The following is a 14,815-nucleotide window of genomic DNA, read 5'->3' on the forward strand; positions in this document are numbered from 1 at the left end:
AAGGCCAGCCTGGCCAACATGGTGAAACTCTGTCTCCACTAAAAATACAAAAAATTAGCCAGGAGTGGTAGCGCGCACCTGTAGTCCCAGCTACTTGGGAGGCTGAGGCAGGAGAACTGCTTGAACCCAGGAGGTGGAGGTTGCAGTGAGCCGAGATCATGCCACTGCACTCCAGCCTGGGTGACATAGTGAGAGACTGTTTCAAAAAAAATTAGGCGGGCATGGTGATGTGTGTCTGTGGTACCAGCTACTCAGGCGGCTGAGCTGGTTACATAGCATTCAGTCACTTACACAGCACTGCCACATCCTTGTGATCTGCACTGTGGTTGATGTTTTTATTATCATCTCTTCCACCCTCCCATTTTTCAGAAAAGGACCTGAGTTCCAGAGAGTGCTTTACCCAAGGTCACACAAGTCATCACTGGAAACTCTGTCAAAACCCAGCTGTTCTGAATACTCAGTGATGCATTTACTTTATTTTTTTGAGACAGAGTTTTGCTCTTGTCACCCAGGCTGGAGTGCAACGGCACAACCTCGGCTCACTGCAACCTCCGCCTCCCGGGTTCAAGCGATTCTCCTGTCTCAGCCTCCCAAATAGCTGGGATTACAGGCGCCCACCACCACATCTGGCTCATTTTTGTATTTTTAGTAGAGACGGGGTTTCACCATGTTGGCCTGGCTGTTCTGGAACTCCGCCCGAGACAGGGTCTCTCTTTTTTTTTTTTGAGATGGAGCCTAGCTCTGTCACCCAGGCTGGAATGTGGTGGTGAGATCTCAGCTCACTGCAGCCTCTGCCTCCCAGGTTCAAGAGATTCTCTTGCCTCAGCCTCCTGAGTAGCTGGGACTACGGGCGTGTACCACCATGCCCAGCTAATTTTTGTATTTTTAGTAGAGACAGGGTTTCACCATCTTGGCCAGGCTGGTCTCAAACTCCTGGCCTCAAAGGATCTGCCCACCTCAGCCTCCCAAAATGCTGGGATTACAGGCGTGAGCCACTGCGCCTGGCTTTTTTTTTTTTTTGGAGACAGGGTCTCCCACTGTCATGTAGGCTGGAGTGCAGTGGCACAATACTCACTGCAGCCTCTACCTCTTGGGCTTAACTGATCCTCCCACCTCAGCCTCTGAAGTATCTGGGACTAGAGGTATGAGTCATCATGCCCAGACTAATATTTTAATTCAAACATTTATTAACTTAATGCTTTAATTTACTAATTGAATTTCATTAATTCAATTCCTAGTTAACCAAAAGAAACCCAGGATAGCTGGAACAAAGAGGACTCATGCTGGCTGGAGTGCAGGCAGGACGGCTGGAAAGTAGCCATCTTGGACCATAAAGAGGAAAGCCCATGTTATGCTGGGCTTGGTGGAAATCGACACACTTTGTTTATGCCTCTGGATATATTATTCACCGCTGGGCAATTTAGCCTACTATGATTATGTTTTGTTTCTTTGTTAGTTAAAAAAAATTTCATGGAGTCAATTATACCTAAAAACAAAATTGGGATTTATTTGCTTAGTTTTCTATGTTCCAATCATGAATTTATTCTCCATCATTCACTAAAAGTGTAGATTTTTCCTGTATTCATTTCATCTTATTTCTTGGGTACCTCCCTCCTGGAGGCTTTTGTCCTCTGGCTCCAGCCTTACTGATTGCTCCCTAGGCCTGCTGCCAGGCCAGCTATCACCCTAGGATTTCCCTTCATTATCATCTTGGAGACTTTCTTATTTCTCACCTATACTGGAATATCCTGTTGCCTGGATCACGTCTTCCTGTTTCTTGGTTTATTCTCTTATTCTGGTGCACCACATCCTCCAGTAGTTTCCTGAGAAAGGGTACATGGATAGGAAATAAGATTTCACGTATCTGAAAATATGCTTTATTTTTTATTTTTTTGAGACAGGGTCTCACTCTGTTGCCCATGCTGGAGTGCAGTGGCATGATCATGGCTCACTGCAGCCTCTATCTCCCTGGGCTCAGGTGATCCTCCATGTGCAGCTTCCAAGCAGCTGGGACTCCAAGCACAAACCTTTTTTTTTCTTTTTGTAGAGATAGGGTTTCACCATGTTGCCCAAGCTGCTCTTGAACTCCTGAGGCTCAAGTGATCCATTAGCCTCAGCTTGCCAAAGGCTTGGGATTACAGGCATGAGCCACTATACTTGGCCCTGAAAATATGCTTACTCTACTGAATTCACAATTTAAATAATTTATAAAATTATATATCATAAATCATTGGAAAACATTCCTACATTATCCTTCAGCATGGCTAATAAGAAACATGATGCCATTCTCATCGCTGTTCCTTTGAATGTGACCTGCTTTTTCTATGTTTTAGGATCCTCTATTAACACATTGATCAGAAACTGCATGATAATATGTCTGAATGAACATTTTCATCCATTACATTGTATACTCAGTGGGCCTTTCATTTTGGAAATCTAGGCCATTCAGATCTGAGATGACTTCTTGAATTTTTCCTTTGATGATTGCTTTCTCTCCATTTCTCTATGTTCCATATCATTATAACGCTTCTTTTTTTTTTTGAGACAGAGCCTCACTCTGTCACCCAGGCTGGAGTGTACTGACGCAATCTCGGCTCACTGTGACCTCCGCCTCGGGGGTTCAAGCAATCCTCCTTCCTCAGCTTCCCGAGTAGCTGGGATTACAGGCATGCGCCACCATGCCCGGCTAATTCTTGTATTTTTAGTAGAGATGGGGCTTCACCATGTTGGTCAGGCTGGTATCGAACTCCTGACCTTGTGATCTGCCCACCTCGGCCTCTCAAAGTGCTGGGATTACAGGTGTGAGCCACCATACCCGGCCCTCTGTAATGCTTCTTAATTGAGTATTAGTCTTACTGGGCCACCTTTAGTTTTTAAAAAATTTTTCTGGCTTTTAGGGTTTTTTAAAAAGCTATTTTCTCAATTTTATCTTCCAACTCATTGATTAAAGTTAATGGTTATCATATTTTTTAGATGTTTTATTCTCCAATGTTCTTTTTTAAAAAAAAACCTGTTCTTATTTCATTGATACAACATTGTTATATCTCTGAGAATATGTATCCTCTGTTTAAAGTTTAGATTTTGTTTTGTCCTGTTCTAGGCATCATAGTTGGGATTACAGGCACACACCACCACCCCCAGCTAATTTTTGTATTTTCAATAGATATGGGGTTTCGCCATGTTGTCCAGGCTGGTCTTGAACTCCTTACCTCAGATGATCCACCCCACTTGGACTTCCAAAATGCTGGGATTATAGGTGTGAGCCACTGCACCCGGCCTAGATCAATTTTTTTTTTAATGGGCAAAATATTTAAACAGGTATTTCACAAAATAAGATATATGATGGTCAGTAGACTGGTAAAAAATGTTCGACATCATTGGCCGGGCGCGGTGGCTCAAGCCTGTAATCCCAGCACTTTGGGAGGCCGAGGCGGGCAGATCATGAGGTCAGGAGATCAAGACCATCCTGGCTAACACAGTGAAACCCTGCATCTACTAAAAATACAAAAAATTAGCCGGGCGTGGTGGTGGGCACCTGTAGTCCCAGCTACTAGGGAGGCTGAGGCAGGAGAATGGCGTGAACCCGGGAGGCGGAGCTTGCAGTGAGCCGAGATCATGCCACCGTACTCCAGCCTGGGTGACAGAGTGAGACTCCATCTAAAAAAAAAAAAAAAAATGTTCAACATCATTAGGTCATCATAGAAATGCAAATTTAAACCATAATGAAATACTATGACTAGAATGGCTAAAATTAAAAAGACTGACAATATCAAGTGTTTATGAAAATGTGGAGCAACTAAAACTCTCAAACATCTGTGGTAGAAATGTACAGTAATACAGCAACTTTGGAAAAGAGTTAGGCAGTTTCTTATAAATATATGCGCACCATATGACCTAGCATTTCCACTCCTAGGTGGAAATAAGATAAAAGCACATGTCCAAGCTGGGCACGGTGGCTCATGCCTGTAATCCCAGCACTCTGGGAGGCTGAGGCAGGTGGATCACTTGAGGTCAGGAGTTCAAGACCAGCTGGGCTAACATGGTGAAACCCCGTCTCTGCAAAAAAATACAAAAAAAATTAGCTAGGCATGGTGGCACATGCCTGTAATCCCAACTACTCGGGAGGCTGAGGTTGCAGTGAGCCGAGATCACCCTATTGCACTCCAGCCTGGATGACAGAGTGAGACTTTGTCTCAAAACAAACAAACAAACAGATGTCCACACAAAGACTTACACAAAAACGTTCAAAACAGCATTAATTCATAGTAGCCCCAGACATAATCCAAATGTCCATAAACAGGAGAATGACTAAGCCAATTCTGGCAAATTCCTACATCAGAATATTACTCAGCAAGAAAAAGGAACAAACTATTGATACATGGAACAACTGGATGAATCTCACACTAAGCAAACGACAACAGACACAAAAATAGTACATGTTTTATGATTCTATTTATACAAAAGTCTAAAAAAAGACAAATCTGGCCAGGCGTGGTGGCTCATGTCTGTAATTCCGGCACTTTGGGGAGGCTGAGACAGAAGGATCACTTCAGTCCAGGGTTTGAAACCAGCCTGGGCAATATAGCAAAACCCTGTCTCTACAAAAAACACAAAAATTAGCCGGGTATGGTGGCACATTCCTATAGTTTCAGCTACTCAGGAGGCTGAGGTGGGAGGACTGCTTGACCCAGGAAATGGAGGTTGCAGTGAGTCGAGACTGCATCACTGCACTCCAGCCTGGGTGACAGAGTGAGACCCTGCCTCAAAAAAAAAAAAAAAAGAGACAAATCCAATCTATGATGACAGAGGACAGATTGGTGGTTGCCTGGAGATGGAGGTGGAGGAGGAGAGTCGTTTGGAAGTGACACAAGAACTTTTGGTGGTGATAGAAATGTTCACTATCTTGATTGTGATGGTGATCAGATTAGCATAGAAACCTAAAACCTGCATTTTAAAAAATATATTATACCACAATAAAGGCAATTTAAAAATACACACAATGAGATAACACTATACATCCACCCACTAGAATGTCTAAAACTAAAAAGACAAGACTGACTGGGTGCATTGGCTCACACCTGTATTCCCAGCACCTTGGGAGGCCAAGGTGAGAGGATCACTTGAGCCCAGGAGTTCAAGATCAGCCTGAGCAACACAGTGAGACCCTGTCTCTACAAAAAATAAAATTAGCCAGGAGTGGTGGCATGCACCAGTGGTCCCAGTTACTTGGGGTGTTGAGGTGAGAAGATTGGCTGGGCAGGTTGAGGCTGTAGGTCACTGCACTCCAGGCTGGGCAACACAGCAAAATCCTGTCTCAAACCACTTTGGAAAACAGGTTAGCAGCTCCTTATATAAAAATATAAGCTTAACATATGACCCAGCAACTCTACTCCTAGCTATTTTTCCAAGAAAATTCAAACTTGTCCATCCAATGACTGGCACATAAATATTTATGACAAGTTTATTTATAGTAATCCCAAATGGAAGCAACCCAAATGTCCATCACCAGATGAATGAATAAATGTGTGGTACATCCATGCAATGGAAAACGATGAAAAGGGATGAACTACTGCTATGCATAACAATGTGCTTCATTTCAAAAACACACGGAGCAAAAGAAGCACCAAAGAGTACATATGGCACGATTTTACTTACATAAAATTCTAGAGAACACAAAATAAAATAATGTCCACAAGTAGACTGTGGCTGTAGGATGTAGGAGGTTGATTGCAAAGGAGTGTAAGTCATGGTGCTGGTAAATTGGTTCCCAAAAAAAGAAAGAAAGAAAAAGCCTGGATTTGTGGTACTTACTGTTTTCTGTGGTGTAAATACTCCCACCATGACCAACTTTGAGCTACTAATACGATGTTACTAATGTAGATTTGGGAAGAGATGTACATATTTGGCTCTCCTGAGCTGGTACTAGCTAGCTCCAGCACATTACCACAGAAAGGAACAAAGGTGATCCGATGGTCAGTATCTTGACTGTGGTAGTGGTAGCACAGGTTTATACATCTGTCAAAACTTACCAAACTGTACTCTTAAAATTGGTGCACTTTCTGCATGTAAATTATATTTCAAAAACAGTTATGTTTCAAATAAATATCAGCAACAACCCATATGCCCAATAACAAGGGACTGGTTACATTAGTTTATTGTTTATCCTCTTGATAGACTAGGATGCAGCCATTCAAACTTAGAAAATTTCAGCAACACAGCAACATGCTTTGCTATACTGTATCATGTTTTGTGGCAGAATAGGAAATTTTATTTATTTATTTTTATTTTTTATTTTTTTTGAGATGGAGTTTCACTCTTGTTGCCCAGGCTGGAAGCAATGGCGCAATCTTGGGTCACCACAACCTCCACCTCCCAGGTTCAAGCGATTTTTCTGCCTCAGCCTCCCAAGTAGCTGGGATTACAGGCATGCAACACCATGCCCAGCTAATTTTGTATTTTTAATAGAGTCGGGGTTTTTCCATGTTGGTCAGGATGGTCTTGAATTCCCGACCTCAGGTGATCCACCCGCCTCAGCCTCCCAAAGTGCTAGGATTACAGGCGTGAGCCACTGTGCCTGGCCAGGAAATTTTATTTTTACCATATGTTTGTCTATGCAAATTTTGTGGGCAGATGGATAACATGAGGCTTTTTGAAAGCACTGTCATGAGTTAATTCTTTTCTTTGTATTTAGAAGCAGTATACAGCAAAATGGTTGACAGCCCAGAATCTGTAGCCAGACTACCTGGGCTAGTAGTATTCAGATCCCAGGTGTCACTTCTCTCAGCTGGGTGACCTTAAGCAACTAACCTAAACTCTTTGAGCCTTAGTTTCCTTTTTCGTTTTTTGTCTTTTTTTTGAGAGGGAGTCTCGTTCTGTCGCCCAGGCTGGAGTGCAGTGGCGCGATCTTGGCTCACTGCAACCTCCACCTCCTTGGTTCAAGCAATTCTCCTGCCTCAGCCTCCCGAGTAGCTGGGATTACAGGTGTCCACCACCATGCCCGGCTAATTTTTTTGTATTTTCTCGTAGAGACGGGGTTTCATCGTCTTGGCCAGGCTGGTCTTGAACTCCTGACCTCATGATCCACCCGCCTCGCCGCCTCGGCCTCCCAAAGTGCTGGGATTACAGGCATGAGCCACCGCACCTGGCCAAGCCTTAGTTTCTTGACTGTAAAAAAGGCACAATAGGAGTACCTATTTTGGAGGGTTGCTGGGAGGATTAAATGAGTTACTATATGTAAAGAGCCTTGAACAATACAAAGAGTAAGTGTTTTAAAAACATCAGGCTGGGTGCAGTGGCTCATACCTATAATACTAGCACTTTGGGAGGTGGGAGGTTCACTTAAGCCCAGGAGTTTGAGACCAGCCCGGGCAACATGACAAAACCCCATTTCTACAAAAAATACCCCCCAACACACCCCAAAAATTAGCCAGGTGTGGTGGCACACACCTGTAGTCCCAGCTACTGAGGAGGCTGAGGTGGGAGGATCACTTAAGCGGGAAGTTCAAGGCTACAGTGGGATCACATCACTGCACTCCAGCCTGGGTGACAGAGCAAGATGCTGTCTCAAAAAAAAAAAAAAAAAAAAAAAAAGGGCCGTGTGCAGTGGCTCACGCCTGTAATCCCAGCACTTTGGGAGGCCGAGGCAGGTGGATCACCTGAGGTCAGGAGTTCGAGACCAGCCTGACCAACATGGAGAAACCGCGTCTCTACTAAAAACACAAAAAAATTAGCTGGGCATGGTGGCACATGCCTGTAATCTCAGCTACTCGGGAGGCTGAGGCAGAAGAACCGCTTGAACGCAGGAGGCGGAGGTTGCGGTGAGCCAAGATCGTGCCATTGCACTCCAGCCCGGGAAACAAGAGCGAAAGTCGGTCTCAAAAAAAAAAAAAAAAGCTATTATTTTCATGAAGCAATGATATTGTTTGGACAATAAAAATGCTTACTATGTGCTAGGCAGGAAACACAGGAATTTATATGACATGGCTTCTAACCTTGAGGAGCTATAAATGTGGTTCTCAATTGTGGGGAGGATTTAGCAGGGATTCACTCCCTTCCTAGGAGTTATTCTGTAACATCTGGAGACATTTTTGATTGTCCCACCATGACTTGGTGGGAGACGAGCCAGTGGAACTTAGTAGGCAGGGGCCAGAAATGCTGCTAAACATTCTGAAATGAACAGGACAGCTTCCCCAAAGGTAATTATGTGAGGGCAGGCACAGTGGCTCATGCCTATAATCCCAGCACTTTGGGAAACCGAAGCGGGTGGATCACTTGAGGCCAGGAGTTCGATACAAGCCTGGGCAACACAGCAAAACCCCGTCTCTACAAAAAATACAAAAATTAGCCATGTGTGGTGGTGCATGCCTGTAATCCCAGCTACTCAGGAGGTTACCCAGCTACTGGGAGGCAGAGGTCACAGTGAGCCAAGATCACGCCATGGCACTCCAGTCTGAACAAGAGTGAGACTCTGCTCTCTGCCACCACCGCCCCCCAACACCCACAAAAAAAAGAATTATGTTGTCCAAAATAATCAAGGTTGAGAAACCCTGAGTCATAGTCTAACTCAGGACAAAAGATACATGCATACATACAAATTGTACAAGGCAGACAATCAAAATAGAGCATTATGCAATTATACATATAAAAAAAAAAACAGAAAAGATAGAATAGCCCTGGGCCAGAGTACAGGATTCCCTGTGACACCTGGCCAGGAAGACAGGCCTCAGTGAACTTCCAGTTTTGGGACCCAGTGGACATACTTCAACGATTTGCAACTTTTAGCTTATTCTATCAGTAGGTACCTTTTTTAAAGGTTAAGTCAAAGTTAAAAGGCTTCACTTCTGCATTGCACTACCAGTGTGAAAATGTACTGGGGCCAGTTCACATATGTTTAATTCATATTATCTTTTCAATGCAACTTGATAAAGAGTTGAGTCAATTTAAAATTCTTAAAAGGGCGGAGCAAGGTGGCTCATGTCTATAATCCCAGCATCTTGGGAGGCAGAGGCAGGAGGATCACTTGAGTCCAGGAGTTTAAGACCTGTCTGGGCAACATAGGGAGACCCTGTCTCTACAAAAAAATGAACAAAATTAGCCAGGTGCAGTGGCTCACACCTGTAGTCCCAGCTTTTTGGGAGGCTAAGGGAGGAGGACTGTTTGAGCCCGGGAGGTTGAGGCTGCAGTGAGCCAAGATCATGCCATTGCATTTCAGCCTGGGCAACAGAGCAAGATCCAGTCTCAATAAATAAATAAATAAATAAAATCATTAAAAGTACATTTTTTGGAGTCAACAAGAAATGATACATAGGAATATTTTGGTTTCCATTTAAAATAGAACCATTTTGGGGAAAATATGCCAATATTTTAATGGTGGATATAATTTGAGGTTGCAGGTGGTTTCTGCGGAATTCCTTTTCAAAATTCCTACAGTGAGGAACATATATTTCTTTGATAATCTGAGAAAGAAGAAAGCATCTGGGCGCAGTAACTCACGCCTGTAATCTCAGCACTTAGGAGGCTGAGTCAGGTGGACTGCTTGAGCTCAGGAGTTCAAGACAGCCTGGACAACATGGTGAGACCATGTCTCTACAAAAATTAGCTGGGTGTGGTGGCATGTGCCTGTAGTCCCAGCTTGAATAGCGGTGGTGGAGGCTGCAGTGAGCCAAGATTGCGCCACTGTACTCCGGCTTGGGTCAGTGTAAGACCCTGTCTAAAAAAAAGCCTGATGTAATCCATACATAGTTCAAGGAAATGCAACTTGAAGTCTCGGTGTAATCCTCCCCATCCTACTAAACCATGTGGCCACCAACTCCTCCCACTTGGGAAACACTGCAAAGTGGCACCACCACCCATTCTGCAGTGCAAGCCAGAAATCTAGTAGGGACCAGTGGACACTTCCCTCTTCTTTCAATCAATCGCAAAGTTCTTCATGCCACTGCATTCTAGCCTGGGAGACAAAGCGAGATCCTGTCTCAAAAAAAAAAAAAAAAAAAAAAATCACCAAGCTCAATTAATTTCGATATCTCTTTGTGTTTCTACCATTACTTCCACCCTTCTCCTTTTCACAAGTATCATGTCCTATGTGATTACTGCAACGGCCTCCTAACTGGTCTCCCTGCATCTGCTCTTTCCCCTTCCCACCCAATCTCGACATTGTAATGACCATCCTTCTTAAAACCTTTCAATAGCTCTCCTTTGCTCTTAGGATATAGACAAAACCACTTGCATGGCAGGGAAGATCTTATATGGTCTTGCCTCCACTCAAAACTAGCTCAACTCAATCCCTTGTTCTCTGTTTTGGGGACACTGGCATTCTTGCAGTAACTTGTAATCCCCAAGCTCCTTCCCACGAGAGTCTCCATACACACTATTCCTCTCTTCTTCACCTGAGTAACTCTCTTCCCTTCCTCAGCTAAGCTTTCCCTGAACTCCCTGACTGGAACCTTCCTTGACATGTGTCACTTTTACAACTTTACATGTTTGAGAGATTAAATGATTAAAGTCTATCTTCCCTAATAGACCAAGGACCACTCACTTAGCACAAAATACATGGTAAGGAGATAACAGCCAATGCATACATAACATGCTAGACTGGCATTCACCATGTCTTTTATTTATTTTTTTAAATTAAAATTAAAGCTGCCATATTTTTCTTTTCTTTTTTGAGACAGGGTCTCGCTGCGTTACCCAGGCTGGAGTGCAACGGCGTGATCTCGGCTCACTGCAACCTCCACCTCCTGGGTTCAAGTGATTCTCCTGCCTCAGCCTCCCGAGTAGCTGGGATTAAAGGCTCCTGCCACTACGCCTGGCTAATTTTTGTATTAAGTACAGACAGGGTTTCACCATGTTGGCCAGGCTGGCCTCAAACTCCTGGGCTCAAGTGATCCTCCAGCCTTGGCCTCCCAAAGTGCTGTGATTATAGGCATGAGCCACTGCACTCAGCCCATTCACCATGTCTTAACTCACTTAGGACCTCCCTATTTGTCCCTACATAGTAAGGACAATTAATAGTCTCATTTTACATTGAGGAAAGTTAACTCACAAACTAAGAAGTGGTAGAGCTGGGATAGGAACTCAGGCACCCAATTTCTGGAGTCTGTGCTCATCACTCAAGCTCCGGTACCTCACCAGCATTTATTGAATGTGAGTACTTTTGATAAGAACTAAACAGCACCATCAGTAACTTTAGTTCAACTAAAGTCAGTTCATTTTGATTTTGGTAAGGATTTTATGTTTGATTGGAACTTTGCTGTAAAACTTTTATTTTCCCAGCATTTTACTTCAGCCACAGGGTCTAGCTGTCACCCAGGCTGGAGTGCAGGATCATAGGTCACTGCAGCCTTAAACTCCTGGCCTCAAGTAATCCTCCTGCCTCACCCTCCTGAAGTACATGCCACCATGCCCGGCTTTTTCAAAATTGTATGGGTTGGGCGTGGTGGCTCACGCCTGTAATCCCAGCACTTTGGGAGGCCGAGGTGGGCGGATAACTTGTGGTCAGGAGTTTGAAACCAGCCTGGCCAACATGGTGAAACCCCATCTGAAATATAAAAAAAATTAGCTGGGCGTGGTGGTGGGTACCTGTAATCCCAGCTACTTGGGAAAACAAGGGATTGAGAACAAGGGATTGAGTCGAGCTAGTGCTGAGCGGAGGCAAGATCATACAAGACCTTGCCTGCCATGCAAGTGGTTTTGTCTATATCCTAAGAGCAAAGGAGAATTGCTTGAACCCGGGAGGCGGAGGTTGCAGTGAGCTGAGATGGCACCACCGCCCTCCAGCCCGGGTGAAAGCGAGACTCTGTATCAAAAAAAGAAAGAAAGAAAGAAAGAAAATTGTATAGAGACAGGGTTTTGCTCTTATTTCAGTTGCTTTAAAAATCCATTTGCCCTCACTGGTATCATCATGACTGATGTTGAGACAGAGGTAGCCCAGCAAACTGCTGGAGAGCAGGGGAAAGTTAGCTTGAGTGAAACAAATTATGGATAATTTGTAGTGTAGGTAACTCAGGTAAGGACAATTCCAGGATTTTCACAGATGTCATCTCACTTAATCTTCATTGACTTTTTAGCGGCGGTGGGGGGACACAGTCTCACTGTCGCCCAGGCTGGAGTGCAGTGGCGCAATCTCGGCTCACTGCAACCTCTGACTTCTGGGTTCAAGTGATTCTCCTGCCTCAGCCTCCCAAGTAGCTAGGATTACAGGCTCCCACCACCACACCCGGCTAATTTTTGTATTTTTAGTACAGACAGGGTTTCACCATGTTGGTCAGGCTGGCCTCAAACTCCTGGGCTCAAGAGATCCTCCAGCCTCAGCCTCCCAAAGTACTGCAATGACAGGCGTGAGCCACCACGCATGGCCAATCTTCATTGATTTCTTTTTTTTTGAAATGGAGTCTTGCTCTGGCACCCAGGCTGAATGCAGTGTTGTTTTGTTTTGTTTTGTTTTGAGATGGAGTCTTGCTGTCATCCAGGCTGGAGTACAGTGGGTTTTTTTTGAGATGGAGTCTTGCTCTGTCACCCAGGCTGGAGTGCGGTGGTGCAATCTTAGCTCACTACCACCTCTGCCTCACGGGTTCAGGCAATTCTCCTGCCTCAGCCTACTGAGTAGCTGGGATTGATTGCAGGTGCCCACCACCACGCCCGGCTAATTTTGTATTTCAGTAGAGACAGGGTTTCACTGTGTTGGCCAAGCTGGTCTCTAACTCCGGACCTCAGTTGATCTGCCCACCTCAGCCTCCCAAAGTGCTGGGATTAAAGGCGTGACCCACCACGCCCTGGCCCAATCTTCACTGATTTATAACAAAGTTACACACACAGGGCAGTTCTTCCACAGTTAATAGATGAAGCAAAAGGCTGGGGTTAGCTGCTAAGCCATGGGAAATCCACTAGTCACAGTATGGTGTGAGGAATGGTGTCCCTACATTTCTAGCTTCAAAACTGCAAAGATATCTCTAGCAGAGAAAGACCATTTCTTCCTCTTTTAACAAAGAGTTGGCCAATCTTTCCTAATTCTTTGTGAAACCTTTCAACAAAGTCAGACTTCCTCCTAGGTTTTCCCAGTGTGGCTACTGCAGGGCAATTACCTCACAAGCTCAAGTCATATGGTAAAAAGCTCTATGAACCAGCTACATCCAATTACCCCTACATCATTACTGTGAAAATGAAACAATTCAAGAAATTCTTTGTTACCATTTATTTTTTCTTTTTTTGAGAGTCTTAACTGTCGCCCAGGCTGAAGTGCAGTGGTGAAGTCTTGGCTCACTGCAACCTCTGCCTCCCGGGTTCAAGAGATTCTGTCTCAGCCTCCTGAGGAGCTGAGATTATAGGCGTGCGCCACCACGCTCGGCTAGGTTTTTTTTTTTTTTTTGTATTTTTAGTAGAGACAGGGTTTCACCATGTTGGCCAGACTGGTCTTGAACTCCTGACCTCAAGTGATCCGCCCGCCTCGGCCTCCCAAAGTGCTGGGATTACAGGCATGAGCCACCGCGCCCGGCCCTATTATTACACTTTTCCTTTATCATTTTAAAAATCTTCATTTTTTTTAAAAGAGACAGGATCTCGCTAAGTTGTCCAGGTTAGTCTTGAACCCCTGGGCTCAAGCGATCCTCCCAAAGTCCTGGGATTGCAGGCCTGAGCCACATACTGTATGCACATTTTTTTTCTTTTCTTTGAGATGGAGTCTCGCTCTGTCGCCAGGCTGGACTGCAGTGGCGCGATATCGGCTCACTGCAACCTCTGCGTCCAGGGTTCAAGCGATTCTCCTGCCTCAGCCTCAGGAATAGCTTGGACTTCAGGTACGCGCCACCACACCGGGCTAATTTTTTATATTTTAGTAGAGACGGGGTTTCACCATGTTGGCCAGGATGGTCTCGATCTCTTGACTCGTCATCCGCCCCCCTCGGCCTCCCAAAGTGCTGGGATTACAGGCGCGAGCCACAGCGCCCGGCCCACGTTTTCTTTATATGCATTTTGCTAAGAAAAGGCATTCATGAGTTTCTTCCGGGGTTGAGAACTGAAACAGGTTAAGAACCACAATCCTTTATTCCTGTACACACATTCTTTCTGGTTCGAGGTTGGGCCTTTACAGGGTACTTTTGGAGGGTGAAACATTTCCATCCTGTCAAGTACCTGGTAGCTATGGATGGGGGGTCTAAGAGGAGGAATCCCTTAGCTCACCCCTAAGCAAGTCAGATTTATCACAGCACAGGTCTCAAGCCCCATATAAGCAGGCTTAGGGGACTCCTTGGAGAGGAAGCTGCTTGTAGGGACAAGGGCCGTCAGGAGAGCTTGAGCTTATCAAGCCACTAACCAGCTGTGTGACCTTGGACAAGTTCCAGACCCTCTCTGGGCTCCTGAACCCATTCCTTACCAAGCCATTAACCAGCTGTGTGACCTTGGACAAGTTCCATACCCTCTCTGGGCTTCAGTTTCCACATCTACACATTGGCAGTGGAGCCACATGGCCTTACGGATCCCTCCCAGCCGAAAGCAGGGTACCAAGCCGACCTAGCCATTAAAGCAGCTTCCTGTGGGCGCGGCGCAGGACTTCAACAGTCCCCCCTCCCCCGCTCAGGCCCGCGAAAACCTCGCGCAACACGCCCCTCGGAGCGACGGCGCTTACCCAACCGCAGCCCCAGCGCTCGAACCCAGCTCCGCCTCTTCCCGGGGGCGTCCCATCGTGCCCCGCGCCGGGCTCCTAGGGTTGCCGGGCACCTCCCGCCTTCCCGCGCCCCGACCCCGAACTCCTCTCCTTAGTTCTCCCGGGCACCCTATCCTATCAACGCCTACTATCCCAGCCAATCGCGCAGGATCCGAGTCG

At 45.4% G+C, this 14,815-nt stretch overlaps 1 long non-coding RNA gene across 3 annotated transcripts in view, besides 2 other annotated features; it reads right to left on the reverse strand.

Moving 5' to 3' along the window:
* Nucleotides 1–14,650, reverse strand: part of KPNB1-DT (KPNB1 divergent transcript) — a 27,902-nt gene extending 13,252 nt beyond the window's left edge. For 2 of the 3 annotated variants that reach the window (NR_171700.1, NR_171699.1), the window contains exons 1-2: nucleotides 14,618–14,650; nucleotides 1,734–1,823 (exon numbers count right to left, since the gene is read on the reverse strand). This is a non-coding gene — a long non-coding RNA (KPNB1 divergent transcript). Of the gene's footprint in view, nucleotides 1–1,733; nucleotides 1,824–14,365; nucleotides 14,552–14,617 lie in introns of those variants that run through there. The other variant, NR_171701.1, reaches the window with a different exon arrangement.
* Nucleotides 13,296–14,141: an enhancer, noted in NCBI's record as "H3K27ac-H3K4me1 hESC enhancer chr17:45725440-45726285 (GRCh37/hg19 assembly coordinates)". NCBI's record gives its function as "activates a minimal SCP1, AML or CMV promoter by ChIP-STARR-seq in naive H9 embryonic stem cells {active_cell/tissue: H9 hESC(naive)}" and the evidence as "EXISTENCE:reporter gene assay evidence [ECO:0000049][PMID:30033119]".
* Nucleotides 14,542–14,811: a silencer, noted in NCBI's record as "silent region_8630". NCBI's record gives its function as "represses an Ori minimal core promoter by ATAC-STARR-seq in GM12878 lymphoblastoid cells {active_cell/tissue: GM12878}" and the evidence as "EXISTENCE:reporter gene assay evidence [ECO:0000049][PMID:35858748]".

This window comes from Homo sapiens, chromosome 17 (genome assembly GCF_000001405.40).
Source record: "Homo sapiens chromosome 17, GRCh38.p14 Primary Assembly".
NCBI classification, from domain to species: Eukaryota; Metazoa; Chordata; class Mammalia; order Primates; family Hominidae; genus Homo; species Homo sapiens.